At 43.9% G+C, this 26,033-nt stretch overlaps 2 protein-coding genes, 1 long non-coding RNA gene and 1 pseudogene across 9 annotated transcripts in view, besides 6 other annotated features; 3 read left to right on the forward strand and 1 right to left on the reverse strand.

Moving 5' to 3' along the window:
• On the reverse strand, window positions 1,400–25,860 carry STT3A-AS1 (STT3A antisense RNA 1). Its single transcript, NR_132372.1, has 4 exons — window positions 25,710–25,860; window positions 6,748–6,866; window positions 3,582–3,734; window positions 1,400–1,410 (listed from the first exon to the last, which is right to left on the reverse strand). It is a non-coding gene; the product is annotated as an STT3A antisense RNA 1 (long non-coding RNA).
• Window positions 2,433–2,934: an enhancer, noted in NCBI's record as "H3K27ac hESC enhancer chr11:125439037-125439538 (GRCh37/hg19 assembly coordinates)". NCBI's record gives its function as "activates a minimal SCP1, AML or CMV promoter by ChIP-STARR-seq in primed H9 embryonic stem cells {active_cell/tissue: H9 hESC(primed)}" and the evidence as "EXISTENCE:reporter gene assay evidence [ECO:0000049][PMID:30033119]".
• Window positions 2,433–2,996: a biological region, named in NCBI's record as "H3K27ac hESC enhancer GRCh37_chr11:125439037-125439538".
• Window positions 2,437–2,996: a silencer, noted in NCBI's record as "silent region_4041". NCBI's record gives its function as "represses an Ori minimal core promoter by ATAC-STARR-seq in GM12878 lymphoblastoid cells {active_cell/tissue: GM12878}" and the evidence as "EXISTENCE:reporter gene assay evidence [ECO:0000049][PMID:35858748]".
• EI24 (EI24 autophagy associated transmembrane protein) lies at window positions 2,769–17,976 on the forward strand. Of its 7 annotated transcripts, none has more exons than NR_110770.2 (12): window positions 2,769–2,865; window positions 5,750–5,861; window positions 8,601–8,700; window positions 9,547–9,607; window positions 10,796–10,862; window positions 11,028–11,198; window positions 11,425–11,549; window positions 12,241–12,360; window positions 13,385–13,496; window positions 14,503–14,614; window positions 15,638–15,712; window positions 16,813–17,976. NR_110770.2 is itself a non-coding variant. In NM_001438416.1 (12 exons), the coding sequence occupies exons 3-12, from the start codon at window positions 5,820–5,822 to the stop codon at window positions 16,973–16,975; spliced, it is 1,023 nt and encodes a 340-aa protein (NP_001425345.1). In that variant the 5' UTR covers window positions 2,769–2,865; window positions 3,396–3,482; window positions 5,750–5,819; the 3' UTR covers window positions 16,976–17,976. The 7 variants fall into 7 exon arrangements, 5 of the variants coding, with proteins under 5 accessions (NP_001425345.1, NP_001317348.1, NP_004870.3 ...); NM_001438416.1 differs by lacking the exon at window positions 11,028–11,198 and adding an exon at window positions 3,396–3,482 and having other exon boundaries at window positions 8,555–8,700; NM_001330419.2 differs by lacking the exons at window positions 11,028–11,198; window positions 14,503–14,614 and adding an exon at window positions 3,396–3,482 and having other exon boundaries at window positions 8,555–8,700.
• Window positions 3,437–3,486: an enhancer, noted in NCBI's record as "active region_5698". NCBI's record gives its function as "activates an Ori minimal core promoter by ATAC-STARR-seq in GM12878 lymphoblastoid cells {active_cell/tissue: GM12878}" and the evidence as "EXISTENCE:reporter gene assay evidence [ECO:0000049][PMID:35858748]".
• Window positions 8,011–8,110, forward strand: RNU6-1156P (RNA, U6 small nuclear 1156, pseudogene; annotated as a pseudogene).
• Window positions 25,061–26,033, forward strand: part of STT3A (STT3 oligosaccharyltransferase complex catalytic subunit A) — a 31,323-nt gene continuing 30,350 nt past the window's right edge. Inside the window, exon 1 of the mRNA XM_047426897.1 lies at window positions 25,061–25,179. The gene's annotated coding sequence lies outside the window, so the exon portion shown is untranslated. The remainder of the gene's footprint in view (window positions 25,180–26,033) is intronic.
• Window positions 25,129–25,298: an enhancer, noted in NCBI's record as "active region_5699". NCBI's record gives its function as "activates an Ori minimal core promoter by ATAC-STARR-seq in GM12878 lymphoblastoid cells {active_cell/tissue: GM12878}" and the evidence as "EXISTENCE:reporter gene assay evidence [ECO:0000049][PMID:35858748]".
• Window positions 25,416–26,010: an enhancer, noted in NCBI's record as "H3K27ac hESC enhancer chr11:125462019-125462613 (GRCh37/hg19 assembly coordinates)". NCBI's record gives its function as "activates a minimal SCP1, AML or CMV promoter by ChIP-STARR-seq in primed H9 embryonic stem cells {active_cell/tissue: H9 hESC(primed)}" and the evidence as "EXISTENCE:reporter gene assay evidence [ECO:0000049][PMID:30033119]".

The raw sequence follows: 26,033 nt of genomic DNA on the forward strand, positions 1-26,033 counted from the left end.
CCTGGCCAACATGGTGAAACCCCATCTCTACTAAAAATACAAAAACTTAGCTGGGCGTGGTGGCAGGTGCCTATAATCCCAGCTACTTAGGAGGCTGAGGCAGGAGAATTGCTTGAACCCAGGAGGCATAGGTTGCAGTGAGCTGAGATTGCACCATTGCACTCCAGCCTGGGTGACAGAGCAAGACTCTGTCTCAAAAAAAAAAACAAAGAAAAAAACAAAGAAGGATGTTGAGGGCAGAGAATTTTTTTTAGTGATGAAAACGAGTCTCAGCAGTGAGGGGAGCTGGAGAAGGGACAGGAAGGGCAGGTCGTCTTCCTCAAAGTCAGGCGGTCTCCCACTCTACTGACTAAGTCAGGGGTCCTTATAGGCACAGGATGGGGAGTATGTGCAGATTGGTTTGTGGCTATGCAAGAAAGGTTAAAGCAAAGGCACCACTCAAAGGTGGGCACAACAGTGTAGAAAACCAATCAGGAAAGGGTAGGTATATGTAAAATAGGTGAAGGGTGGGGATCAATCAGAGGAAAACATGCAAGACAGGAAGACAAGTTCTCAATCTGGTCTGAGGACTTAACTTGTAGCTTGGCTTTCGAGCTTTAAACTGTTTTTGGCTTGGAGGTGGGGTTTCAATGGGGACCCGCCACTAACTGCCTAGGCATTTGGCTGTCTCCTGTCGCTATCACTAGATCTAGTATTGTTATCATTTCACTAAATCATATATCCATACAGTTAAAAAACACCTTCATATATATACCATTTATTTCAGCAGCCTGTGTTAAAGAAACTAAGGTTTGGGCCAGGCGTGCTGGCTCACACCTGTAATCCCAGCACTTTGGGAGGCCAAGGCGGGTGGATCACGAGGTCAGAAGATCGAGACCATCCTGGCTAACATGGTGAAACCCCGTCTCTACTAAAAATACAAAAAATTAGCCGGGCGTGGTGGCGGGCACCTGTAGTCCCAGCTACTTGGGAGGCTGAGACAGGAGAATGGTGTGAACCCGGGAGGTGGAGCTTGCAGTGAGCCAAGATAGAGAGACACTGTCTCAAAAAAAAAAAAAAAAAAAAAAAGAAACTAAGGTTCACAGCTTAACTGGAGGTCATGTCTTCTCAAAGTGCTCTGCCACAAACTTCCTCATTTGTGAAATTTGGAAAATAATATCCTCTACTTGTCCACAAATAGCATCTAATCATACATAAGCATGTGAGAGCTCTTTAAAAATGCAAGGTATTAATTATTATTGGTTTTTATTTTAAATGTGGTTATACATGTTGAGATTTAAAAGATTTCCTCCCGGCCAGGCGCAGTGGCTCACGCCTGTAATCCCAGCACTTTGGGAGGCTGTAGGTGGGCGGACCACGAGGTCAGGAGATCGAGACCATCCTGGCTAACACGGTGAAACCCCGTCTCTACTAAAAATACAAAAAAATTAGCCATGCTTGGTGGCAGGTGCCTGTAGTCCCAGCTACTCAGGAGGCTGAGGCAGGAGAATGGCGTGAACCCAGGGGGCGGAGCTTGCAGTGAGCCGAGATCGCACCACTGCACTCCAGCCTGGGAGACAAAGACAGACTCAGTCTCAAAAAAAAAAAAAAAAAAAGATTTCCTCCCATGAAGTAAGCCAGAATAAACTCATACCTACTAAATTCTTTCTAAAATCTTTTCTAAATTGACACTCTTGAGAAAGAATAGAGCTTGGAGGAAGAGCTATTATTATAATTAATAGCACAATAATCAGTTTGTCATTAAACCACTTAGGTCTCTTTGTAACAAGATTTCTAAGCTTTAGTAGATGGATTCCTTATTCTATTCTATTTTATATTGTTTTGTTTTGTTTTATTTTATTTTATTTTTCGAGACAGTCTAGCTGTGTCACCCAGGCTGAAGTGCAGTAGTGCGATCTCGGCTCACCGCAACCTCTGCCTCCTGAATTGAAGTGATTCTCATTCCTTAGCCGACCAAGTAGCTGGGACCACAGGTGTGTGCCACCATGCCCAGCTAATTTTTTGTATTTTTAGTAGAGACGGGATTTCACCATCTTGGCCAGGGTGGCCTCAAGTGATCTGCCCGCCTCAGCTTCCCAAAGTGCTGAGGTTACACGCATGAGCCACCGTGCCCAGCCACTTATTTTATTTCATTTTTTAAATTTATTATTATTATTATTATTTTGAGACTGAGTCTTGCTCAGTCGCCCAGGCAGGAGTGCAGTGGTGTGATCTCGGCTCACTGCAACCTTCATCCCCTGAGTTCAAGTAATTCTCCTGCCTCAGCCTCCTGAGTAGCTGGGACCACAGGCAGGTACCACCACACCTGGCTAATTTTTGTTATTTTAGTAGAGATGGGGTTTCGCTATGTTGGCCAGGCTGGTCTTGAACTCCTGACCTCGTGATCTGCCTGCCTTGGCCTCCCAAAATGCTGGGATTAAAGGCATCCTGTTACTAATTTCACAGGATTTTAGAAACGCAAGCAGCGTTGTGGAGTCAATGGGGGAGGGCAAAGAACAGGAGGAGAGATCTGTGAGAACGGGATCGGCGAGGAGGCGACGGGGAGGAGGCGACGCGGAGGGGTGAGGGGTCCTCTCCGCCGCCAGGCGGAGTTGGGAGCCGGACGATCCCGCACGCAGCGCGAGGCGGGACCCCGGACTGACTACATTTCCCAGTCTCCGTCGCTCCGCGCGGCCCACCCCTTCGGCTCTGGGCCCCGCCTCGTGGTGCCGGCTGGTTCTTCGCGCTCGCCCGACTTCCCAGCGGCCCCGTGCGGCCCGGGCATGCCCAGTGCGGGCGCAGCGGCCCCGGCCCTGGAAGCGCCCCGGCGGAGCTGGCCTGCGGTGGGCTAGGGGCAGGGCCGGAGCCGCGGCGGCGGAGCTGTGGGTAGGTGCGGGCTCAGCCGAGCTAGGCCTCGGGGCCGCCGCGCCGCCCATTCTGAGTGGCAGGGACCGGGAGGGCAGGCAGGGCCCGAGCGTGGGTTGGTGGGGCTACCGGCGAGGACCCCTTATGGGAAGGGGCCGGAGGGAGCGGGACGGGGCCGGGCACATCCCCGGGCGAGGCTGCCCCAGGTGCGGCGCAGCTATCTTTAGCTCCCTGTGTGACCCGGAGCGTGCGTGATCCGCACCTCGCGTGATCCGTACCTCGTGCACAGTTGTGCCTAGGGAGACCAGTTTTCTGCCGAATTGCCTAGGAGCTGTGGGGAGATGGGCCTGAATGGACCCGTGGACTCAGAGGCAGCCCGTGGAGCCCCGTGGGAAGTGAGGATGTTTACCTTCCCTGTACCTGGAGTGGGCTACGACAGCTTCCTGTTTGCCGAGACTTGGGTTTAGTGACTTAGAAATAAAAGTGTGTCTCAGCAGATGCTTATTAGCTTCTAATGACTGTTGGGAATTTAATGGCATTTGTATTTCCAGGTTTGAGAGGTTATTTGTCCATGGGATGCTCGTGTTAAAACAAAAATCTTCATTGCAAAGCTTAAGTAAAAACAAGTCTCGACCGAGGTAACGTTAGAACACCGGGTTCTGAGGTTCACTGTAGCTGCCATTCATTTGCTGTCAGTCTGGGCAAGTCATTTAACTTCTGAGACTGGGTTCTCTCACCTGTTAAATGAGCCAGATGCATCTTCATCTGTCTAGCTCAGCTGTAGGATTCCCCCTGTGTCATTCAGTCTGTGTGTGTGTTCTCAAATTGTGGCAGGTTATTTTTCCCCATGCCTCAGCTATTTGTCAGACTGGGTAATTCACCAAATATTCCTGTAGGAAGGATGTTAGGATCTAAGTATAAAAGTGAAGTGATTTATCCTTCATAGGTCACTCTTAGGAGGTGTCCTGCCACTTGGTACATGCAGAAACCAGGTGTTAGCTGGCCAGGGATCAAATGACACAGCTGTTGTGGACTGAGACAGAATGTTTCAGGTTCCCTGTCAGTTCCCTGTGAGAAATCCAGGCCAAGTAATGGGCTTCCTTAAACCTCCAAGCTGGCTCACTTTGGTGGGGTTGTGTTTATATAGAATTTTAAGTTTTTTTCATGCTGTTGTGCCCTATTAGATGCAAGAAACCTATGAAGAAGTTTAGTACCCTTAATTTATAGATGAGCCAGTGGCAGGTTACGGGAGTGGATCTGTGAGTCTTTACAAACTAGTGTCGTGCATATCACTGAGCCTTTGCTAGTTATCTAGCTCAGCTGCCCTCACCTCAACCCTGAGAACATGTCTGTATGGCTGTACCTACGCGACTGGAACTCTGAGGTGTTTGTTTTCAGGAGGAAACAGTGGGAGTATTAACAGAAGTTTCTTACCCTAGAGACTTCTATCCGAAGTGAGCCTATCTGTGTAGGATTTGACCTAAGGAGCAGAGGGTATATACAATGTTGGGCAAATTGCCTTCCTACTGCCATATCCCCTGCTCTTCCAGTTCTGAATGGCATTAGTCCAGTTGGGTCAATGAGGAGCAGTTTGGTGAAGTGGTTAAAGGTCGGGGAAAGTGTGCTTATATTTTGAAATTTAAGGTTTGTACAAGCTGCTTGTGAAATTCTGTCTTTGTATTATGGTCATACCTCTTAAACTGAGAATACTGCAACTTGATTGAGTGAGTGTTGAGAACTTTAGAATATCAGGTTCTTAAAAAATGCCTGAAAGTGGGTTTTCTATTCATCTTAGAAGTCACCACAGATTAAATGAGAGAATAGTATATTAATTACAAGTATTTCTCACATGAACTCTCAAGTTCTTAATTTTTGAAACTAGATATCCCATTCACCTGAGAAATAAAATGGGAAAGCCTTACTGTTTTAAAGACTGTTTATACATATGAACTTTTTTGAGGCCTAGTTTAAAATCCACTATTTATTGCATGTTTATTAAAATTGTATCTGTATATATTTAAAGTTAGAAAACAGAAAAGACCAGCCGGGCGTGGTGGCTCATGCCTGTAATCCTAGCACTTTGGGAGGCTGAGATGGATGGATCACCTGAGATCAGGAGTTTGAGATCAGCCTGGCCAACATGGCGAAACCCCATCTCTACTAAAAATACACAAAATTAGCTGGGCGTGGTGGCGGGTTCCTGTAATCTCAGCTACTCGGGAGGCTGAGGCAAGAGAATCACTTGAACCTGGGAGGTGGAGGTTGCAGTGAGCCGAGCCCAGTGTTGCACTCCAGCCTGGGCAACAAGAGCGAGACTCTGTCTCAAAAAATAAAATAAAATAAAAAAGACCTATTTGGAGGTTTTGGTACGCAATTTCATGTCATACCTTAAACTTTACTGTGCCCGAGGGCTCTGTATGACTGAAGCATGTATTTAGTAATTTTTGTAAGAACTTTTATCTTGCTCTTGTATTTTCATTCAAGTATTTGAAGGTATCCAGCAAACATAAAAATTGCTTAAGAAGATATTGAAATGTAATTATCTTCCATCTCCAAACCCTCAAAAGTGCTTAGAATGTGTAGGAGGGATAGTTAGGGGCATTGAGGCTCAGAGGAGGTTACTGGTCAAGAGCACATTGTAAAAATGTAAAATGTAAAAATGAGAGGGTGTAAAATGTAAAACCCCTTGTAAAAATGAAAGGGTGGTGAGTGTTTTAGAAAAAAAATAGGGATTTTAGGTTTCAGCTGTACAGGAATAGCTTCACTTGATTCACTCTATTAGTGCTAGAATCTACTGCTATCTTACTAGAGCTACAAGTATGTGAGGTCATCATGTGGAAATGTGCATGAAGTAACTTATCTTTAAAATAAATATTTGCCTCCATTATGTTCCATCTGTTTCCAGATCCTTCATGATGAGAGATTTGGGGACACTTCTCTCTCCTGTGTGTAGTTGATAGTTTGGTGGTGAAGAGATGGCTGACAGTGTCAAAACCTTTCTCCAGGACCTTGCCAGAGTGAGTACATCTTGTTTATAGGAATTCATCTCTCGGCCTTTTTTTTTTTTGCTGAAGGAACCATCTAGGAAATCCTTTAGGGTTTTTGGAACTTTTATCATATTTCTTGGGTTCTTTACATAAAGGTTGTTATTCTAGACCACACTACTCAAGAAATAGGTATTGTTCTACATCTTGCAGACAGTCTTGCAGGTGCTTGGAAGACCTCTTCGGTGGATGTCTCCAGTATTGGGACCCTAATCATCTTGGCTTCAGAGCTTTTTTTTTTTTTTTTTTTAACTTTTTATTTTGGAATGTGTTTAGATTTACAGAAAAGTTATAAGGTAGTACAGAGAGTTCCTGTATGTCCTTCATCAGCTTCCCTTAATGTTAACATATAACCGTGGTATATTTGTCAACTAAGAAATGAACATTGGTTCAGTACTATCACCTAAACTAATTAATTCAGATTTAAATTAGAGAACCTATCTTTTTTTTTTCCCAATTTTTCATTTATTTAAAAATTTTTCTGTTAAAAGTAGAGACGAAGTTTTGGCATGTTGCCCAGGCTGGTCTCAAACTCCTGGGCTCAAGTGATCCACCCGCCTTGTCCTCCCAAAGTGCCGGGATTATAGGAGTGAGCCACTGCACCTGCCAGAACCTTTTTTCTCCCCATTCTACAAGCTGTGCACGTGAGGAGGATACTCTAGGAAAATGCCCTATAAAGATCTGGTTAGGACCCAGTCATCCAAATTACCAATAGCACAAAAGTCTGCTACTTTTAATGTATGTCTGAAGCCTAATAATGTCTCACTTGTAACCCCCTCTTATATTTCCACTAGCATGAAAGAGGCCAATTCTTGGAGTGGGGAGGTTCTTTCTTTAGTGGAAGAGTTTAAAAGGTTACCTTTATGGCCAGGGGAGGTGGCTCACAGCTGTAATCTCAGCACTTTGGGAGACCAAGGAGGCAGGATTGCTTGAGTCTGGGAGTATGAAGCAGTAGTGAACTATGATGGTACCAGTGCACTATAGCAGGGCAAGAAAGTAAAAAGGTTATTACTTTTGAGTAAAAGAGGGAGGATTGAAAGAGTATCTTAGAAGGTCTAAAAAGACTTTATGCATATGATCTCCTTTTTTTTTTTTTTTTTTTTTTGACAGAGTCTCACTGTGTCGCCCAGGCTGGAGGGCAGTGGTGCAATCTCGGCTCACTGCAACCTCCACTTCTTGGGTTCCAGTGATTCTCCTGCCTCAACCTCCCAGGTAGCTGGGATTACAAGCACACACCACCACGCCTGGCTAATTTTTATATTTTTAGTAGAGACGGAGTTTCACCATGTTGGCCAGGCTGGTCTTGAACTCCTGACCTCAGGTGATCTGCCCACCTTAGCCTCCCAAAGTGCTAGGATTACAGGCATGAGCCACCGTGCCCAGCAGCATATGATCTACTTTTAACATCTTTACCTTGTTGTCTTGCCATTCATGTGCTGTAAAATTTCAACCCTCCCAGCCTGGCTAACACAGCAAAACCCCCTCTCTACTAAAAATACAAAAAAGATTTAGCCAGGCGTGGTGCACATGCCTATAATCCCAGCTACTCAGGAGGCTGAGGCAGGAGAATCGTTTGAACCTGGGAGGTAGAGGTTGCAATGAGCCAAGATCATGCCACTGCACTCCAGCCTGGGCGACAGAGTAAGACTCTGTTTAAAAAAAAAAAAAAATTCAACCCTGTGTTGGTTCTACAGTGTGCTATTTACATGTTTGTCTGCCCCACTGGACTGTAGATGTCTTAGAGGTGGGGATCCTATCATCCTAGCATGTACTAGGCCCTCAGCCATTTGAACTTAACTATCTTAGATAGTTGGAGTTTCCTGAGTTAAAAGCAAAATTAAGAGTAAAAATTACTCAGACAAAAAAAGATCAAAGGCACACTGTGCCAATTTATGTTCCTGTTAACAGATAATACATCAACTTGCCCATTTCTCTGTATTCCAGCTATTATTTCTAAAATTCGTTTTGTCTGATAACAGTAGACGAGAATGCTATCCATTCTTAAATCCAGCTTGGCCATTGCTTCCAGAATAATTTTTTCTGCCTTCTCATGAAGTTGAATGCCCCAGTGCTAACACTCTACTTGGGCCATACATCTGTTGTGGCACTTACTAAACTATGTGTGCTTGCTTCTGCAGCACATGTACTAAAATTGGAACAATACAGAGATTACCATGGCTCCTGTGCATGACACACAAATTCATGAAATGTTTCATATTTAAAAACTTTTTTAAAAAAAAACCTTTAATGTAATTTTTTGGTTTACTTGTGTGCTTTTCCTACTAAGTTATAAGCTTCTTGAGCATTTCTATATGACAATATATAGCTTATTGAAGATACTCAGTACGTGGGTGGGAGATGGATGCATGAGTGAATTCTTAGCCTTTGGGAGGCTTAGGCAGGAGGATTGCTTGAGGACAGGAGTATGAAACCAGCCTGATCAACATGGTGAGATCCCCATCGCTACAGAAGAAAAATTTAAAAGCCAGGTGTGGTGGTGCACATCTGTACTCATAGCTCTTTGGGAGGCTGAGGCAGGAGGATCATTTGAACCCAGGAGTTGGAGGCTGCAGTGAGCTATGATTGAGTCACTGCACTGTAGCTTGGGTGACAAAGCAAGACCCTGTCTCAAATAATAATAATAATAATGATAGCCTTTTCTATAGGGAATCAAAGACTCCATCTGGGGTATTTGTACCATCTCAAAGCTAGATGCTCGAATCCAGCAAAAGAGAGAGGAGCAGCGTCGAAGAAGGGCAAGTAGTGTCTTGGCACAGAGAAGAGCCCAGAGTATAGAGCGGAAGCAAGAGAGGTAAGGAGTGCATGCCTGATATCAAAATGTCCAAGGGAGGGAAGACCTTACATAGTGACTTGATGTTTCAGTGCCATTTTATTTCTTTTGTGCTTTTTCCCAGAAAAATGTTGCAAGTGATTTCCCCCCAACAACATTGACTTAAACTAGGGTCTAACAATAATCCTTGCTAAAAATGTCATGGTGTTAAATCAGAAAGCTGAATAGAGAATCGCAAAATATTATTTGGTTTGATAGATACTTCTAGGGAAGCCTGTGTGGATTTATGTATTAATAGAAGAACCCTGGCCCCACACTTTCTCTTAATCTTTTCCATCATCAGACTTTAGAAAATAAATTATTTTTCTTTTAAAAGCTGGTTCCATATATATACACATTTTTTTTTTTTTTTGAGACGGATTCTTGCCCTGTCACCAAGCTGTCACCTGAGATTGCCGTGGTGCAATCTCAGCTTACTGCAGCCTCTGCCTCCCAGGTCCAAGCAATTCTTCTGCCTCAGCGAACCGGCTGGCTGGAAGTACAGGTGCGCACCACCACGCCTGGCTAATTTTTTATATTCTTTAGTGGAGACAGGGTTTTGCCATGTTGGCCAGGCTGGTCTCGAACTCCTGACCTCAGTTGATCGCCTACCACGGCCTCCCAAAGTGTTAGGATTACAGCCGTGAGCCACTGCGCTTGACCATTTTTTTAGTCTTTTCTCATTGACTGACATTAGAACATTGGGAGAACATGAGGCACTGAAAAATAATACAGTACCCACAAAAGATAAGATATAAAATGAACTACTGAATGACAATTAGGAAATAACTTATGCTTTATAAACTAAATACATGTGATCTTTTCCAGTGAGCCACGTATTGTTAGTAGAATTTTCCAGTGTTGTGCTTGGAATGGTGGAGTGTTCTGGGTAAGTTCTTTAAATTCCAGGTGCCTTATAAGCATCTTCAGATTGTTGCTGGGTTGATAGCTATGAACTGTTTTCTTGAAACACTGAGACAAATAGTTTTCATCTGCTGATGTACACTTAGAAATATAACTCAGGAGTCTGTGCATCTGCAGAGATTTTATTCCCACTCAGGAAAGCACACTTATATGTAAGCAAACGTCACAGCCCTGAATATACACTTGAATTTTGTTTCTAAAATGACTCATTCACAAGTATTAGAGGTAGCAGTTTCTCTTGACACTGTCTAGACATTTTAAAATGCTAACAGCAACTATGGGGACTCGGGAAGGGCAGATACGGCTAGACAAGAACAAGGTTCTCCCTGCTTCTGCTTATAGTGATCAACAAGAGTTAATTTGCATTGAAACCTATAGCAGAAAAGATTGCCTACCATTTACTGAGAATCCCAGTGCAGGCTTAACTGAAATTTGGGTACTTTGAAGAATGGATAAATATTTCCTTTGACTTAGAATTTAGAGTAATTCATCACTTCTTAATCTAAACAATTCACAGATGTTTTCAGATGTTAGTTTTAAATTTAATTAATATGTATTCCTGTGTACTTAGTACATGCCTGTATTTTGGCCTGAATACTACTTGAAATGTTCCTGTATGCCCCCAAAAGTTTCATTGTTTTATAGGCAATATCAAGTTTGTATCTCTCAATTGGAGTGTTGGGAAATAGAAATGGATCCAGTTTTGGTGCTTTTTCAGGCCTCCTGATTTATTTTATTTATTTATTTATGTATTTATTTGAGATGGAGGCTCGCTCTGTTGCTCAGGCTGGAGTGCAGTGGCATGATCTTGGCTCACTGCAACCTCTGCCTCCCGGGTTCAAGCGATTCTCCTGCCTCAGCCTTCCCAGTAGCTGGGATTACAGGCATGCACCACCACACCCGACCAATTGTTGTATTTTTAGTAGAGACGGGGTTTCACCATCTTGGCCAGGCTGGTCTCGAACTCCTGACCTCAAGTGATCTGCCTGCCTTGGCCTCTCAAAGTGAACCACCGCGCATGAGCCACCGCGCCCGGCCTAGGCCTCCTGATTTATAAAAGTCACTCCCATCTATAAAATCATTACACTAAAAATTGAAGCTCCTGTTTTAAAGACTGGATTTTGATGTTTGCCTTGTTGCTTCTTTTCTTTAGTTCAGTCTCCTCTTGTTTTATCGAGTATTTATTCCTGTGCTTCAGTCGGTAACAGCCCGAATTATCGGTAAGTGTATACCCTGCTCCTTGTCTGTTGGGGACAGAGTGGGAGATGATGTTTCAGTCTCCCTCAGTTTACTGAACATTTCCTGTGTACCAGGAGCTTTCACTGTTTATTTTCTTTTTTGTTGTTTTATTCTTTTTAAAAATTTATATTTCGTTATTCTCCTAGAGGCCCTTTAAGAATGGGTACTGTTGTTCTATCCATTTTATGAATGAGGAAATGCAAGTTACCAAGGTTAAACCATTAGTAAGAGGCAAAGCTGAGATTTAAACCCAGATGGTATCCTGCAGATAGCGTACTGGTAATCACTGTGGCATCTCGTTACCATCATGTAAGCAGGTTTGTGTCAAGCAGCACATATCTATGGTTTCTTTGAATTGGAATTGTGGCCAGAATGTGGTGCGTCTATTATGAGTTAGACTCTTTGAGATAGGTATAGTGATGTGCTGGCAAGAACTAGAAAGATCCAGGAGGAGACAGAGAATAGTCACGAGATGGGGGTTCCGCATTTGGTCTTCTGGATTTCCATTTCTCCATTTCTAGTAACTCGTTTCCTCTTTCTTAGGTGACCCATCACTACATGGAGATGTTTGGTCGTGGCTGGAATTCTTCCTCACGTCAATTTTCAGTGCTCTTTGGGTGCTCCCCTTGTTTGTGCTTAGCAAAGTGGTGAATGCCATTTGGTTTCAGGTAGGTCCAGGGCAGAATGGAGTCTGGGTCCCGCAGCATGATTGGCTGACAGGTGACAAGTTTCAGCCTGTGAAGTTAGTGGGCATGTAGGGGGACCTGTTTTTCAGCCTTAATGTTTCTTGGCCAGGTAGCCAGTAGCTGATCTTTGTGTTCTTACAGAATGGAATTATTGTCTCAGCATCTCATTGGCAGGTGTCTGGTGCCTTTTCTTTTTCGTTTTGGCTTTTTTTTTTTTTTTTTTTTTTTTGAGACAGTCTCACTCTGTCGCCCAGGCTGGAGTGCACTGCAACCTTTGCCTCCCGGGTTCAAGCAATTCTCCTGCTTCAGCCTTCCAAGTAGCTGGGACTACAGGCACGTGCCACCATGCCTGGCTAATTTTTTTTGTATTTTTATTAGTGACAGGGTTTCACCATGTTGGCCAGGCTGGTCTCAAACTCCTGACCTGCTGATCTGCCTGCCTCGGCCTCCCAAAGTGCTGGGATTATAGGCGTGAGCCACGGCATAAGGCAGCAATCCTCCTACCTTAGCCTCCTGAGTAGCTGGGACTATAGGCACATGCCATCGTGCCCAGCTTATTTTTAAATAAGCCTTTTCTTAACTGGCAGCTCTAGTGGCGGACTAGTGGCCTTAGCTTTGGGGATGTATATCAAGGCCATTTAATTCATGTTTTGGTACACTTTCTCTGTTACAGGATATAGCTGACCTGGCATTTGAGGTATCAGGGAGGAAGCCTCACCCATTCCCTAGTGTCAGCAAAATAATTGCTGACATGCTCTTCAACCTTTTGCTGCAGGCTCTTTTCCTCATTCAGGTGAGACTGACCTTCTGGGCATATGGGCAGCTTTATTAAAAAGAAAAACTGTTTCACTAGAGAGAACTTCACAAAGACAGAGTATTATATTTATACAGAGTATTATATATATGCTGGTGGGAGGTAATGATTTTTAAATCTTTTTTTCCCCACGGAAATGAGAATTTTAAAATTACATTATAAAATTATAAGAAACATGAATTTACCTGCTTTTTTCTGCTACTCTGGTTATTCTCCAGTCCTGCCAGGTGGAAACTTTTTTTCTTTTTATAGTTATGCCTAATTTTTTTTTTTTTTTAAAGAGACAGACGGGTCGGCTGGGCGCAGTAGTTCATGCCTGTGATCCCAGCACTTTGGGAGGCCGAGGTGGGCGGATCACCTAAGGTCAGGCATTTGAGACCAGCCTGGCCAACATGGTGAAACCCCATCTCTACTAAAAATACAAAAATTAGCTGCGCGTGGTGGCAACATGCTTGTAATCCCAGCTACTCGGGAAGCTGAGGCAGGAGAATCGCTTGAACCCAGGAGGCAGAGATTGTAGTGAGCCGAGATCGCGCCATTGCACTCCAGCCTGGGCGACAAGAGCAAAACTGTCTCAAAAATAAATAAATAAATAAAAGACAGGGTCTTATTTTGCCACCTAGGCTGGAGTACAGTGGCACAATCATACCTCACTGCAGCCTCAAACTCTGGGCTCAAGCAATCCTCCTGCCTTAGCCTCCTGAGTAGCTGGGACTACAGGCACATGCCATCATGCTCATTTTAAAAATCTTGTTGTAGAGACAGGGTCTCAGTATGTTGCCCAGTCTGGTCTTTAACTCTTGGCCTCAAGAGATCCTCCCGCCTCATCCTCCCAAACTGTTGGGATTACAGGAATGAGTCACTGTGCCCACCCTGCACTCGGCCTTTTAGAAACTTGAGAAGCAGCTAGGAAGCTATCTCAGACAGTGATTGGAGAGTGACAGGTGAATGGTGCTAGGTTTCCGAGGCTTTGGGATTAAGATTTTCCATATTTGTTCTTCAGGGAATGTTTGTGAGTCTCTTTCCCATCCATCTTGTCGGTCAGCTGGTTAGTCTCCTGCATATGTCCCTTCTCTACTCACTGTACTGCTTTGAATATCGTTGGTTCAATAAAGGTAAGTCCATCTAAAGAAATCCAGAAAATGGAGGCCCAGTTTGGAAATGCTACTGCTAAGCAGACTTCTTAAACTACTCATAGTCAGGCTTTTGGCAAACAATCCTTTGAGGGAAGCAGCCTCATTGGCAAGAGGGAGCTTACCTTCGGCTTAGTGGGTTTAACTCTCAACTTTGAGGCTGGGGGATGTGGTAGTATGGCATTATCTTTTTGGTGCTTAACATGGTATATCTCTGACTGGGTTGTAAGATGGCATAAATGAGCATGAGTTGCTCTAAATTAGAGAAGTCAAATTGATGTCAGCATCTGGATCCTTTTGGGGGTGTTTTAGAAAGACCTTCAGATATTTACCAGGGTGTGCGTGGTTGAAAGAGGTTAACTGATACTTACAGGATGGCATCCTTTTGATTTGCTATCTTGCTTAGTTCCAGACTAATCCTGACAAAGGATGCTGGTGCTGAAATTCTTAATTCACTTAGCCTGTCAGCTTTGAAATTACGATTATAGAATTCTAAGAAACTTTGCATGCTTTATATCAGATTTGTACACTTCTAATTTATATGCTGTAGCTCTGTTCTAAATCTGTACCTAGGCTGGGTGTGGTGGCTCACACCTGTAATCCCAACACTTTGGGAGGCCAAGGTGGGTGGATCGCCTGAGGTCAGGAGTTCAAGACCAGCTTGGCCAATATGGTGAAACCCTGTCTCTACTAAAAATACAAAAATTAGCTGGGCGAGGTGGCAGGCGCCTGTAATCCCAGCTACTTGGGAGGCTGAGGTGGGAGAATCGCTTGAAACCAGGAGGTGGAGGTTGCAGTGAGCTGAGATTGCACCACCGCACTCCCGCCTGGGCATCAAAGCAAGACTCCATCTCAAATAATAATAATAATAATAATAATAATAATAATAAAATCTGTACCTAAAACTCATGGTTTGTCTACCATAGTTACTTAGTCACTTGACTAAAAGGAAATATAATATCTAATTGTATTGGCTTTCTTGTTTTAGGAATTGAAATGCACCAGCGGTTGTCTAACATAGAAAGGAATTGGCCTTACTACTTTGGGTTTGGTTTGCCCTTGGCTTTTCTCACAGCAATGCAGTCCTCATATATTATCAGGTAATTTGGCTACAGGGATTTGAAGGAGACTAGTAAAAATAAAAATTCATGAAGTCAGTGCCTTTTGTTTGCTTCGTTCTGTTTCGCATTCTACATCATCATTTGTCCATCAGGAGACCTGCAGGGTATTTCTACATTTGTTAGCATGAAGATCTAGTCTGAATGTCCCTATATCCCATATTCTTTTTCTATGTTGCCTCCTGAAGCAATTATTCTTTTTTTTTTTTTTTTTTTTTTTTTTTGAGACAGAGTCTCACTCTGTCGCCCAGGCTAGAGTGCAGTGGTGTAATCTCAGCTCACTGCAACCTCCGCCTCCTGGGTTTAACTGATTCTCCTGCCTCAGCCTCCCAAGTAGCTGGGATTACAGGCGCCCACCATCACGCCTAGCTAATTTTTGTGTTTTTAGTAGAGATGGGGTTTCACTATGTTGGCCAGGCTGGTCTTGAACTCCTGACATCGAGTGATCCACCCACCTTGGCCTCCCAAAGTGCTCAGATTATAGACATGAGCTACCATGCCCAGCCCTGCAGCAATGTTAAACATGCCCAGTGCTTAGAAAAATCTTCTGTTCTTTTTGAAAGATGTGTTTGATGGGCTGGGTGCCACGGCTCACGCCTGTAATTCCAGCACTTTGGGAGGCTGAGGTGGGCAGATTACCTGAGGTCAGGAGTTCGAGACCAGCCTGGCCAACATGGTGAAATCCCATCTCTACTGAAAATACAAAAATTAGCCAGGCGTGGTGGCACACACCTGTAATCCCAGCTACTTGGGAGGCTGAGGCAGGAGAATCGCTTGAACACAGGAGGCGGAGGTTGCGGTGAGTTGAGATCTTGCCACTGTACTCCAGCCTGGGCGACAAGAACGCGACTCCATCTCAAAAAAAAAAATGTTTGAAATATTGAGGTTTCATCAAGCCATAATGTTTACACTGGAAGCAAAAGAACTTGGAGCTTCTAATATCTTCTTCAAAGTCATGTCTGTTATGAAGGTGACTAATTATTTCTTTTTTTTTTTTTTAAACAGTGGCTGCCTTTTCTCTATCCTCTTTCCTTTATTCATTATCAGCGCCAATGAAGCAAAGACCCCTGGCAAAGCATAGTAAGTATTAGCCAGTGATGAAATTTTTGCTGTGTAAAGGGTTGGGGCTGTAACACCAGTTATGTCAGTGAGGCTTTTTAAAAAAAAAAATTCTTACTGTAGGAAAATCTTAATATAAGGTTTAATGAGAGAGAAACACTTCTGGGATATAACCCAAACTTTTCTCCATGCATATATGCACATGAGTATATATATATTTCCAAAACCGATCCCATTATACATATTCAAGTAGAGGGCTGTATGACCTGGCCACATGAGTTTATTGATAACAGTAGTAAAATATACTTTAAAATGAGTTTTTAGCAATAATAATAGCATTCTAAAAGTTTTATTACTTCAAAGAAAAGCTCAATTCATCTTTGATCAATTTTGGTTAAGTCAGTGTGGATACTTGTATTAGAGACTTAGGTCTGCTTTGGGTTTTTGTATGCTCTTGCTATACAGCACAGCTCACTGTTTATCTTAAGAGGAATATTTGACTTTCTTTTGAAACTCTTCTTCCTGCAACCACAGATAGCATATGATACCTTCAGACATAGCTTGAAGTCTGTACCCCGAAGTCAGCCATAGAAAAGTACTTCTCAAATCAAAGTTAATCTAAAATATAACTATTTCCTGTAAGAGCCACAATACTTCAACGCTGGTGACTGCATTACATTCATGGCAGCAGCAGGGCCCAATGCATTCTTTTTTTTTTTGAGACGGAGTCTCGCTCTGTCACCCAAGCTGGAGTGCAGTGGCGTGATCTCGGCTCACTGCAACCTCCGCCTACCAGGTTCAAGCGATTCTCCTGCCTCAGCCTCCTGGGTAGCTGGGATTGCAGGCGCATGCTACCATGCCCTGCTAATTTTTTTCTCAAGTGATCCACCTGCTTCAGCCTCCCAAAGTGCTGGGATTACAGGTATGAGGCACCACGCCCGGCTCCAATGTATTCTTTAGTTGCCTGTTCCATCCATGTATCTAATATCTGTATTTCCTTGATCAAGTTTCATTTGTCTTGTCTTTCCCTGTGTAGTTTTAAATTTAATGTCAAGTTGTCAAACAACGGAAATAATTTTGAGTAACTGGGGAGCTAACAAGTTGGGTTTCTTGCCTTTTAGTCTCTTCCAGTTGCGCCTCTTCTCCTTGGTGGTCTTCTTAAGCAACAGACTCTTCCACAAGACAGTCTACCTGCAGTCGGCCCTGAGCAGCTCTACTTCTGCAGAGAAGTTCCCTTCACCGCATCCGTCGCCTGCCAAACTGAAGGCTACTGCAGGTCACTGAGTTGCCTGCCATCCAAAGGGGATGGGCGGGATTGGAAGAAGCTGTGGCAGCTCTTTTCCCTGTTCACCTCCCGCCTGCCAGGGAAGGCAGGACCCGCTCTGCCAAGGGCCCTCTGCGTATTCCCTTCTCTCTGAGGAATTGAAATTTTTGTCTCTGGTGCACGTAAGGCAGAATGTTCCCTGACACCAGTGTGTGGATTTTTAACATCACCGTGAGTCTGAAAGGACCACAGGTTTTTCTGCAGCTATTTTCTAGCATTTGCCAGTCCCTGTGCCTGGACTGATTGGAACACTTTGTTTTTCTCCCTGTGCCATTTACCCTTCCACCTTTCCATCCTGCCTTCTACCACCCTTGGATGAATGGATTTTGTAATTCTAGCTGTTGTATTTTGTGAATTTGTTAATTTTGTTGTTTTTCTGTGAAACACATACATTGGATATGGGAGGTAAAGGAGTGTCCCAGTTGCTCCTGGTCACTCCCTTTATAGCCATTACTGTCTTGTTTCTTGTAACTCAGGTTAGGTTTTGGTCTCTCTTGCTCCACTGCAAAAAAAAAAAAAAAAAAAAAAAAAAAAAAAAAGCCTGAAGAGATGAGATAGGAGGAAAGACCTCACAGCCAGATCTGCTGGGTTTTGAGGAGTGATTTTCTTTCTTCCCCTTGAAGGGGAAAAAGCTATTTTCATTGGTACATTTAAAGTCCCCCAACTATGGGGAGGTACCAATTCTGGACAAGTGCCACTACAACAACACTAAACCTGAACTTTTCAACTCCGTTGGTGGTGGGAGGCAGCGGGCAGAAATTTACTGTTGGCCACTGCCAGGTCTATTTCATATTTCAAAGGAATATTGGGTGCTGCATATAGGAACTGAAGGGGTCAATGTATTAAACCTGTGATTGGTTGTTTTCCTGTCATTTTGAGAGACTAAATGTGGGGGGCAGATGTCAAAATACCTGTACAATTTTAAAATGTCACAATTAAACATGAGCTGGTTTCCCACAAAGTGTCTAATGGTTGAATTTGCAAATCTTGATTTCGAGAAATGTATTCATGGAATATAAGACTTTGTCTTGGATAATTTAGTTACAGTTTTGAGAAATTAGCCCTGAAAAATGTTCCCTGAGAAAGCCTGGATTATATGATTATAATCACATTTATATTTGGTAGAAGAGTCAGATTATTACTTTTTCTAAAGTCTATATGTATATCGCTACTGTATATTCATGAAGGGAGAAAGACCCTCCTAGATATTGGTGTATTGAGTATTAATCGAGGGAAGCCGTTAAACATCTGGTTAACAGAGACCTTTACTATGTGCAAGATAAAATATGGAATTAAAAATTGTTGCTGGGGCCAGGCATGGTAACTGATGGCTGGGATTCCAGCACTTTGGCAGGGGCCAAGGCAGGAGGATCACTTGAGTCCAGGAGTGCGAGACCAGTCTGGGCAACATAGTAAAACCCCGTCTCTATTAACTATAAAATAGGTTAGGCCGGGCATGGTGGCTCATGCCTGTAATCCCAGCACTTTGGGAGGCTGGGGCAGGTGGATCACCTGAGGTTGGGAGTTCAAGACCAGCCTGGCCAGCATGGTGAAATCTCGTCTCTACTAAAAATACAAAAAATTAGCCGGGCGTGGTGGCACACACCTGTAATCCCAGCTGCTCAGAAGGCTGAGGCAGGAGAATTGCTTGAACCCAGGAGGCAGAGGTTGCAGTGAGCCGAGATCGTGCCATTGCACTCAAGCCTGGGCAAGAAGAGCAAAACTCCATCTCAAAAAAAAAAAAAGGTTAAAAAAAAATTGTTGCTGAGAGTTGTAAACCAAGTTTGAAGGTTTATGCGGTTGATGGAAGGAGGGTTTTTAAATGGTAGGCATCTTGGAAGTGAACACTTTCCAGCTTGGGCAGAAAAAATTGTAAAAGACATGGTTTAAAGTAAGGTTTACTTCCAACATTCTCCTATGACATCTCTGGTCATTTAACAATAGTATTGCAGACTACTTCCAGATTGCTATGGGTGTGGTTTGCAGAAGACTTCAGTATTTCATCAGCTTGTAAGTGATAAGTGATTGCCTTATTTAAGCTTAGTTTCTTAAAACTAAGTTTTAAAAGTAGGCTTAGTTATTTAAGCAGTCACATCTTTGCTTCCTGAAATTTATATTTGTACCATTTAGAAGCATCTCATAAACTATTGAAAAAAAAAATAGAAACATCTCAGTTTGGTTTAAAAGGGTGAAGGAGACTGGGCGTGGTGGCTCAGGCCTGTAATCCCAGCACTTTGGGAGGCTCAAGGCAGGTGGATGATGAGGTCAGGAATCCAAGACCAGCCTGGCCAACATGGTGAAACCCTGTCTCTACTAAAAATACAAAAATTAGCTGGGCATGGTGGTGTACACCTCTATTCCCAGCTACTCGGGAGGCTGAGGCAGGAGAATCGCTTGAACCTGGGAGGTGGAGGTTGCAGTAAGCCACGATCGCACCACTGCACACCAGCCTGGGTGACAGAGTGAGACTCTGTTTTGCGGGGGAAAAAAAGGGTGAGGGAAGTTGAGTGGATGAAGGTATATGATTTTTATCCCCAGCACTGTGCCTGGCTATAGAAAATGTGTAAAGGTTTAAATGACTGGAAGTGAGGAATCTCCAGAGTTTTATTAGCACAGTTGAGCAGCCAAGCCTTTTGTATAAAGGCTAGATTAGGCATATCTGTGATAAGAGAAATGTGACCATCTCAAATGAGTTATATACACAAAGCAGTGTAAATTTTTCCTGCCTTTCACGAGGGTATTGTCACTGAGAGCAGTGATTAGGAAATGGGTCAAAAAGAGACTATATTTTTGCCAAGTGCAGAATACCTGTTTGAGGCAGACTAATAATTAGTAACCAAAAACAAGGGAGCTCACAAAACTAAAAATGAAAATTTGTTTGTTTTAATCACAAAACCAGTAGGATCTGAGGAATTGTTCCCAGAAGCACTTTTCAAGGGATAGACATCACAGCTTGGACAGGTATATGTAATAGAAAACACAAGCCTTTTTATTCTATCTATAGAGCTGAGTTGTCTGCTATAGCAACTCTCAAAATTAGAAAGTAGATGCTTTAGATCTGAGTACGTTAAGTCTGCTAGAAACGTAAATGACACATTCATGTACTGATGTGTTAACTGCTCTGCACTTAATAAAAGGATAGCATCTATGAGAGAAAAGGCAACTACAGTTGTCCATTCACTGTCTCCTCATTTTCCACCCACAAATAGTACTTTATTTTCTGATTACAGCAGTAGTACGTTCATTCTGCTCCTTTATGTGTGTTTACCTCCATCATTGAGATTGCTCTGGTGAAGGTTACTGTTCATCAGTAGTGGGGTGGAATAGATAGTTTAGCAGTCATCTCACCTTTTATTCACATATTCTGGGCTGGGTGCAGTGGCTCACGCCTGTAATTCTAGCACTTTGGGAGGCCGAGGCGGGCGGATTATGGGGTCAGGAGATCGAGGCCATCCTGGCTAACATGGTGAAACCCCGTCTCTACTAAAAATACAAAAAATTAGCTGGGCGAGGTGGCACGCGCCTGTGGTCCCAGCTACTCAGGAGTCTGAGGCAGGAGAATCACTTGAACCTGCGAGGCAGAGGTTGCAGTGAGCCAAGATCGCACCACTGCACTCCAGCCTGGGCGACAGAGTGAGACTCCATCTCAAAATAAAAAAAACAAAACGATATTCTGCCAAAGTTGTATAACCTACAGCAGTTAAAAGGAAGCTGACTTCAGGTCAGTGCAATTTACACCTTTGTAACAACGAGAGCCATACACCAGTACAAATTTTGGATGGACCTAAAATGAGTCTGCAGAACCACTGAAGGATCAAGTGAGGGAATTATGACTTAATCACGTAACAAGCATTTGAGCACCTTCTCTGTCAGGTACTGAGCAAGGGACTGGGGACTCAAGGGTGAACCAAAAAGATATGATTACTGCCTTCTAGGACCTGACAGTCCAGTGAGAGAGACTGACAAGCAAATGACTATGCAAAAATTTCAAGAATTACATGATCAGCTATTTTTCCATAGGTCTCAAAGCTGGATAAAACACTGGAATTCAGGGAATCTTTGAGTAAGATGAGCAATTAGCCCATATGTTCAGCCTCTCCTTGTACTCATTCTGATTTCAAATTTAAATATTCTGTAGTGCTTTGAGACCTAGAGAAAGAAAACAATGACCAATTAATCATTTAGGTAAGTTCCTCTAATCATTCCTCTTCACGAGGAATCAACATCGGAATCAGCTCAGCAGCTTTTCCAAAACACAAATAACAACACCTGGCTCTGGAGGAAATTTAAGTAATTATGGAAACAAAAGGTAATTTAAAAAATTCTAGTAACTATTTTCACAGAGATTTCAGAAGCTACTGCATCCATAAAGTAAGAACAGATTTGGCCGGGCGCCGTGGCTCACGCCTGTAATCCCAGCACTTTGGGAGGCCGAGGTGGGTGGATTGCTTGAACGCAGGAGTTTGAGACCAGCCTGGGCAACGTGGTGAAACCCCGTCTCTACAAAAAAATACAAAAATTAGCCGTGGTGGCTCGCACCTGTGTTTTCCACTACTTGAGGGCTGAGGCAGGAGGATCCTTTGAGCCCACGAGGTTGAGGCTGCAGTGAGCTGAGATGGTGCCACTGCACTCCAGCCTGGGTGACAGATGAGACCTTGTCTCAAGGGAAAAAAAAAAAAAAGTGACACTGAAGAGGCTAAATTAGTGAACTGCAAGATAATATTGAGGAAATCTTCCAGAACATACAGCAAAAAGATCAAGAAAAAGTTAAGAATGGTAGAGGTATCCAAGAACCAGGAGATAAAACATTTGTCCAACAGCAACTTCAGAAAATGAGAATAGAAAAATGGAGATGAATAAAATCAAAGAACATTTCCTGAACTGATGATACAAATTGTAGTTTTCAGACTGAAAGGGCCTGCCAAATGTAAAGCAGAAAAAAATGAAAGAAGGTGAAACACATAGATGAAATCTCTAAGGAAAGACAATTTATCAGAGAGGGAAATAGATTACCGATAAAGGAAAGTGACTCAGATTGGTGTCAGGTTTCTTAAGGCACAGTGGATCACGAACAATATAGTCACAGAGGCTTGAAAGTGTGCTTTTATGTGTCTGTGTGCATACGGGGTGGGGTGGGTGGGTCCCAATTTTGTTCCTAAAATTCTAAACCCAGCCATGCTATTAAGGACAAAATACAGATATTTTCTAACACGCAAAGGCAATGTTTGCTTCCATTCAGCCTTTCTAAAACACTTACTTGAAAAAAAATTCATCAAAAGTGAAAAATAAATCTAAGAAATAGCAAGATGTCTTATCAGATGATAATCTATGAAAAAAAAGAAAAAGAACTATGTCTTATTAAGACAAAACACCCAACCAAATAACACGAAACAGTGGAATCCAGAAGTGCATTCAGGGGAAATCCCAGTAATACAACTTTGCACACACGTAGAAACGTGGTTTCTGGAGAGAACAGCTTGGAGAACACAGATACTATTACTCTGGTGTGCTACAGATGAGATGAAGGCATGAGTTTCGTTTGATTAATGATATACAAGAAAGGTAAACTGACGCTTTAAGAAAAATGAAAAGCTCTACGAAAAAGTTCTAACTTCTACATCAAAACATTCCTTTTAAGCAACTGATGAAATAGTAAAAGCATTGTTTTCTGAAACAACCAGTTCAAAACTTTTGGACTTATAAATCAGGAGGGAGGAGGATTAACTGATACACTATAATTCACGTATAAACTGTAGGTTTATTTTCTTTTATTTTGAGACGAAGTTTCACTCTTGTTGCCTAGGCCAGAGTGCAATGGCGCAATCTCGGCTCACGGCAACCTGCGCCTCCCAGGTTCAAGAGATTCTCCTGCCTCAGCCTCCCGAGTTGCTGGGATCACAGACATGTGCCACCACACCCAGCTAATTTTGTATTTTGAGTAGAGACGGGGTTTCTCCATGTTGATCAGGCTGGTCCTTAACTCCTGACCTCAGGTGATCTGCCAGCCTTGGCTCCCCAAAGTGCTGGGATTACAGGCATGAGCCACCATGCCCGGCCTATTTATTATTTTATTTTAGAGACAGAGTCTTTCTTGCTCTGTTGCCCACGCTGGAGTGAAGTGGCGTGATCATAGCTCATTGCCGCCTAACTTCTGGGCTCAAGCAATCCTCCTGCCTCAGCCTCCTCAGTAGTTGGGATTACAGGCCAGCACGACCATGTCCAGCTAATTCTTAAAAATTATTTTTGTAGACACTGCATCTCATCATGTTGCCCAGGCTGGTCTCCAACCCCTGGCCTCAAGCCATCCTCTCGCCTCAACCTCCCAAAGTGCTAGGATTACAATCTTGAGCCACGACACCTGGACCTCCAGGTTTGTTTATAATAATTATAAAGACTTTCCTATGAGTTTGTTTTCCTTTGATTTTATTCACAAATAAGCCTTTCCTCATGGACTGGTATCAAAGACTCATCCTAAAAATAGGATTAGATTTTCAAACTTTGTTCTTTTTTTTTGAGACAGAGTCTCCCTCTGTTGCCCAGGCTGGAGTGTGATGGCGCGATCTCAGCTCACTGCAACCTCCGCCTCCCAGGTTCAAGCAATTTCTCCTGCCTCAGCCTCCCGAGTAGCTGGGATTACAGGCACTTGCCACCAGGCCCGGCTAATTTTTGTATATTTAGTAGAGACGGGGGTTTCGCCATGTTGGTCAGGCTGGTCTCGAACTCCTGACCTCATGATCCGCCCGCCTCGGCCTCCCAAAATGCTGGGATTACAGGCGTGAGCCACTGCACCCGGCCCCAAACTTTGTTTTTTAATAGTACATTTTGACTTGTGAAAAGGTTTACTTAATTTGATCACTTGGAAGCTTAAATGTATTCTAAGAAACATGTTTAATACTTTTTTTTTTTTTTTTGGTGGGAGAGTCTTGCTCCGTTGTCCAGGCTGGAGTGCAATGGCGTGATCTCAGCTCACTGCAACCTCTGCCTCCTGGGTTGAAGCAATTCTACTGCCTCAGCCTCCTGAGTAGCTGAGATTACAGGAGCCCACCATCGCGCCTGGCCTACTTTGAAAAAAATTAATAAAAACTCTAACATCTTAATATTCTTTTTCTTTTTTTGAGACGGAGTTTCGCTCTTGCTGCCCAGACTGAAGTGCAATGGCGCGATCTTGGCTCACTGCAACCTCCAACTCCTGGGTTTAAGCGATTCTCCTGCCTCAGCCTCCCAAGTAGCTGGGATTACAGGATCCTGACACCAAGCCCAGCTAATTTTTGTATTTTTAGTAGAGATGGGGTTTCACCATGTTGGTGAGGCTGTTCTCAAACTCCTGACCTCAGGTGATTCACCCGCCTCGGCCTCCCAAAGTGCTGGGATTACAGGCGTGAGCCACCGCGACCGGCCTTAATATTCTTAGGTTAATACTTAAAAAAAAACAAAAGAAACTTGAACACAATCTTTCTAATTTTAATGCCCCCCTCCCCGCTTTTTTATTTTTAAAGAGAAAAAACTTCTTTTTGAGACGGAGTCCAGCTCTGTCGCCAGGCTGGAGTGCAGTGGCACGATCTCGGCTCACTGCAACCTCCGACTCCCTGGTTCAAGTGATTCTGTGTCAGCCTCCCGAGTAGCTGGGATTACAGGCACGCGCCACCACGCCCAGCTAATTTTTCTATTTTTAGTAGAGACGGGTTTCACCATGTTGGCCAGGATGGTCTCTACCTCCTGACCTCGTGATCCGCCCGCCTTGGCCTCCCAAAGTGCTGGGATTACAGGGGTGAGCCACCGCGCCCGACCAAAACTCGTATTTTGAAGAAGCATTTACTCCAAGTTCTGTAATTCCTTCAGGCTCAGCTTCAGTTTCCTTTTGTTAAAGTAAAATTACATCGAACACTTACTACTAAAAACAAAACCAAAAAAAAGCAGATCTATTGAATCATAACGTCCTGGGGCGAGCCTGGTCATGTGGATTTTGAAAAAAATGCATGTGATTCTGAAGCAGTGATTTAAATAATGACCTTTCAATAAGTGGTGGGTTCCGTTCATGGGAGAATAGGAAACTGCGTGAGTGGTAGAGGCAACAAGTTCGAAGAGCTGCGAGACGTTCCCACTCTCTCTGGTGTAGCCTTGGCTCACCGAGGCGCGCAGGGAGTGGAAGTGCCTGAGGATAAAGGTGTACACGTGCGAGTCTGAGATGATGGAATTGCTGCTCAAACTTCGTCCCCTTCTCTGCCCTCAGCAAACTTATTGGGGGTCGGGGAGCGCGTGGGGTGCGAGAGAAGAGAGGCAAGTTAGGATAGGGAGAGCGGCTCTCTGGCCGGTATTTTAACAAAGGGCTGAACTGACTAAGCATGGCCGGGCTGCCTCCCGGTCTCCCGAGGAAGCCCGCTTGCTGCTGGGGAGGGCTGTGCCTCCGCGGCGGTGGCTGTCTCAGCTGGCAGTAGAAATGCTTCCAGCTTAGCCCCGACAACCCCTTTAGGCCTAGGCACGCTCTTTCACAAAACCAGGGGCTGTGAACTCTGTCAAGGTTCCCAGGTCCATCGCAGTTACCAAGGCACAGTAAAAGCTCGAGTCAACTATCAGGCACATCCTGCAAAAGACGAACTGTCTGGACCAGTCCGCGTTTGAGTTTTAATTGAGAATAAATAGGTAGAAAATGCTTCCCTCCTCTCCTTTCACCTTGTATTAGGTAACAATTTCTACCTTAAAAAAGACGGGAGACGAGCGGCTCCGCATTCCGAGTTACTGGGACTTGGAGCAAGGGCCTATTTCAGCGTAGTTTCCGCTTCTTGTCACATGACGGGAGTCAGTGGGCCGCGCCTTCCCACTGCGACTCCCCGTGGGTCCGCAAACCGACACGTCACTCCTCGGCCCTCAACCAAACTGCTTGGGGCACGTTCTTTCCGCGCTCTTGACTCCTACGCGCCGGCCTATGACAGCTCGGCGGGAGCATACAGACCTGCCTCTAGACTGCTAAGTGATAGCTGTAATGACCAATTAAAAACTTGAATCGCGGCCCGGTTTACG

Source organism: Homo sapiens, chromosome 11 (assembly GCF_000001405.40).
Source record: "Homo sapiens chromosome 11, GRCh38.p14 Primary Assembly".
Classification (NCBI taxonomy): domain Eukaryota; kingdom Metazoa; phylum Chordata; class Mammalia; order Primates; family Hominidae; genus Homo; species Homo sapiens.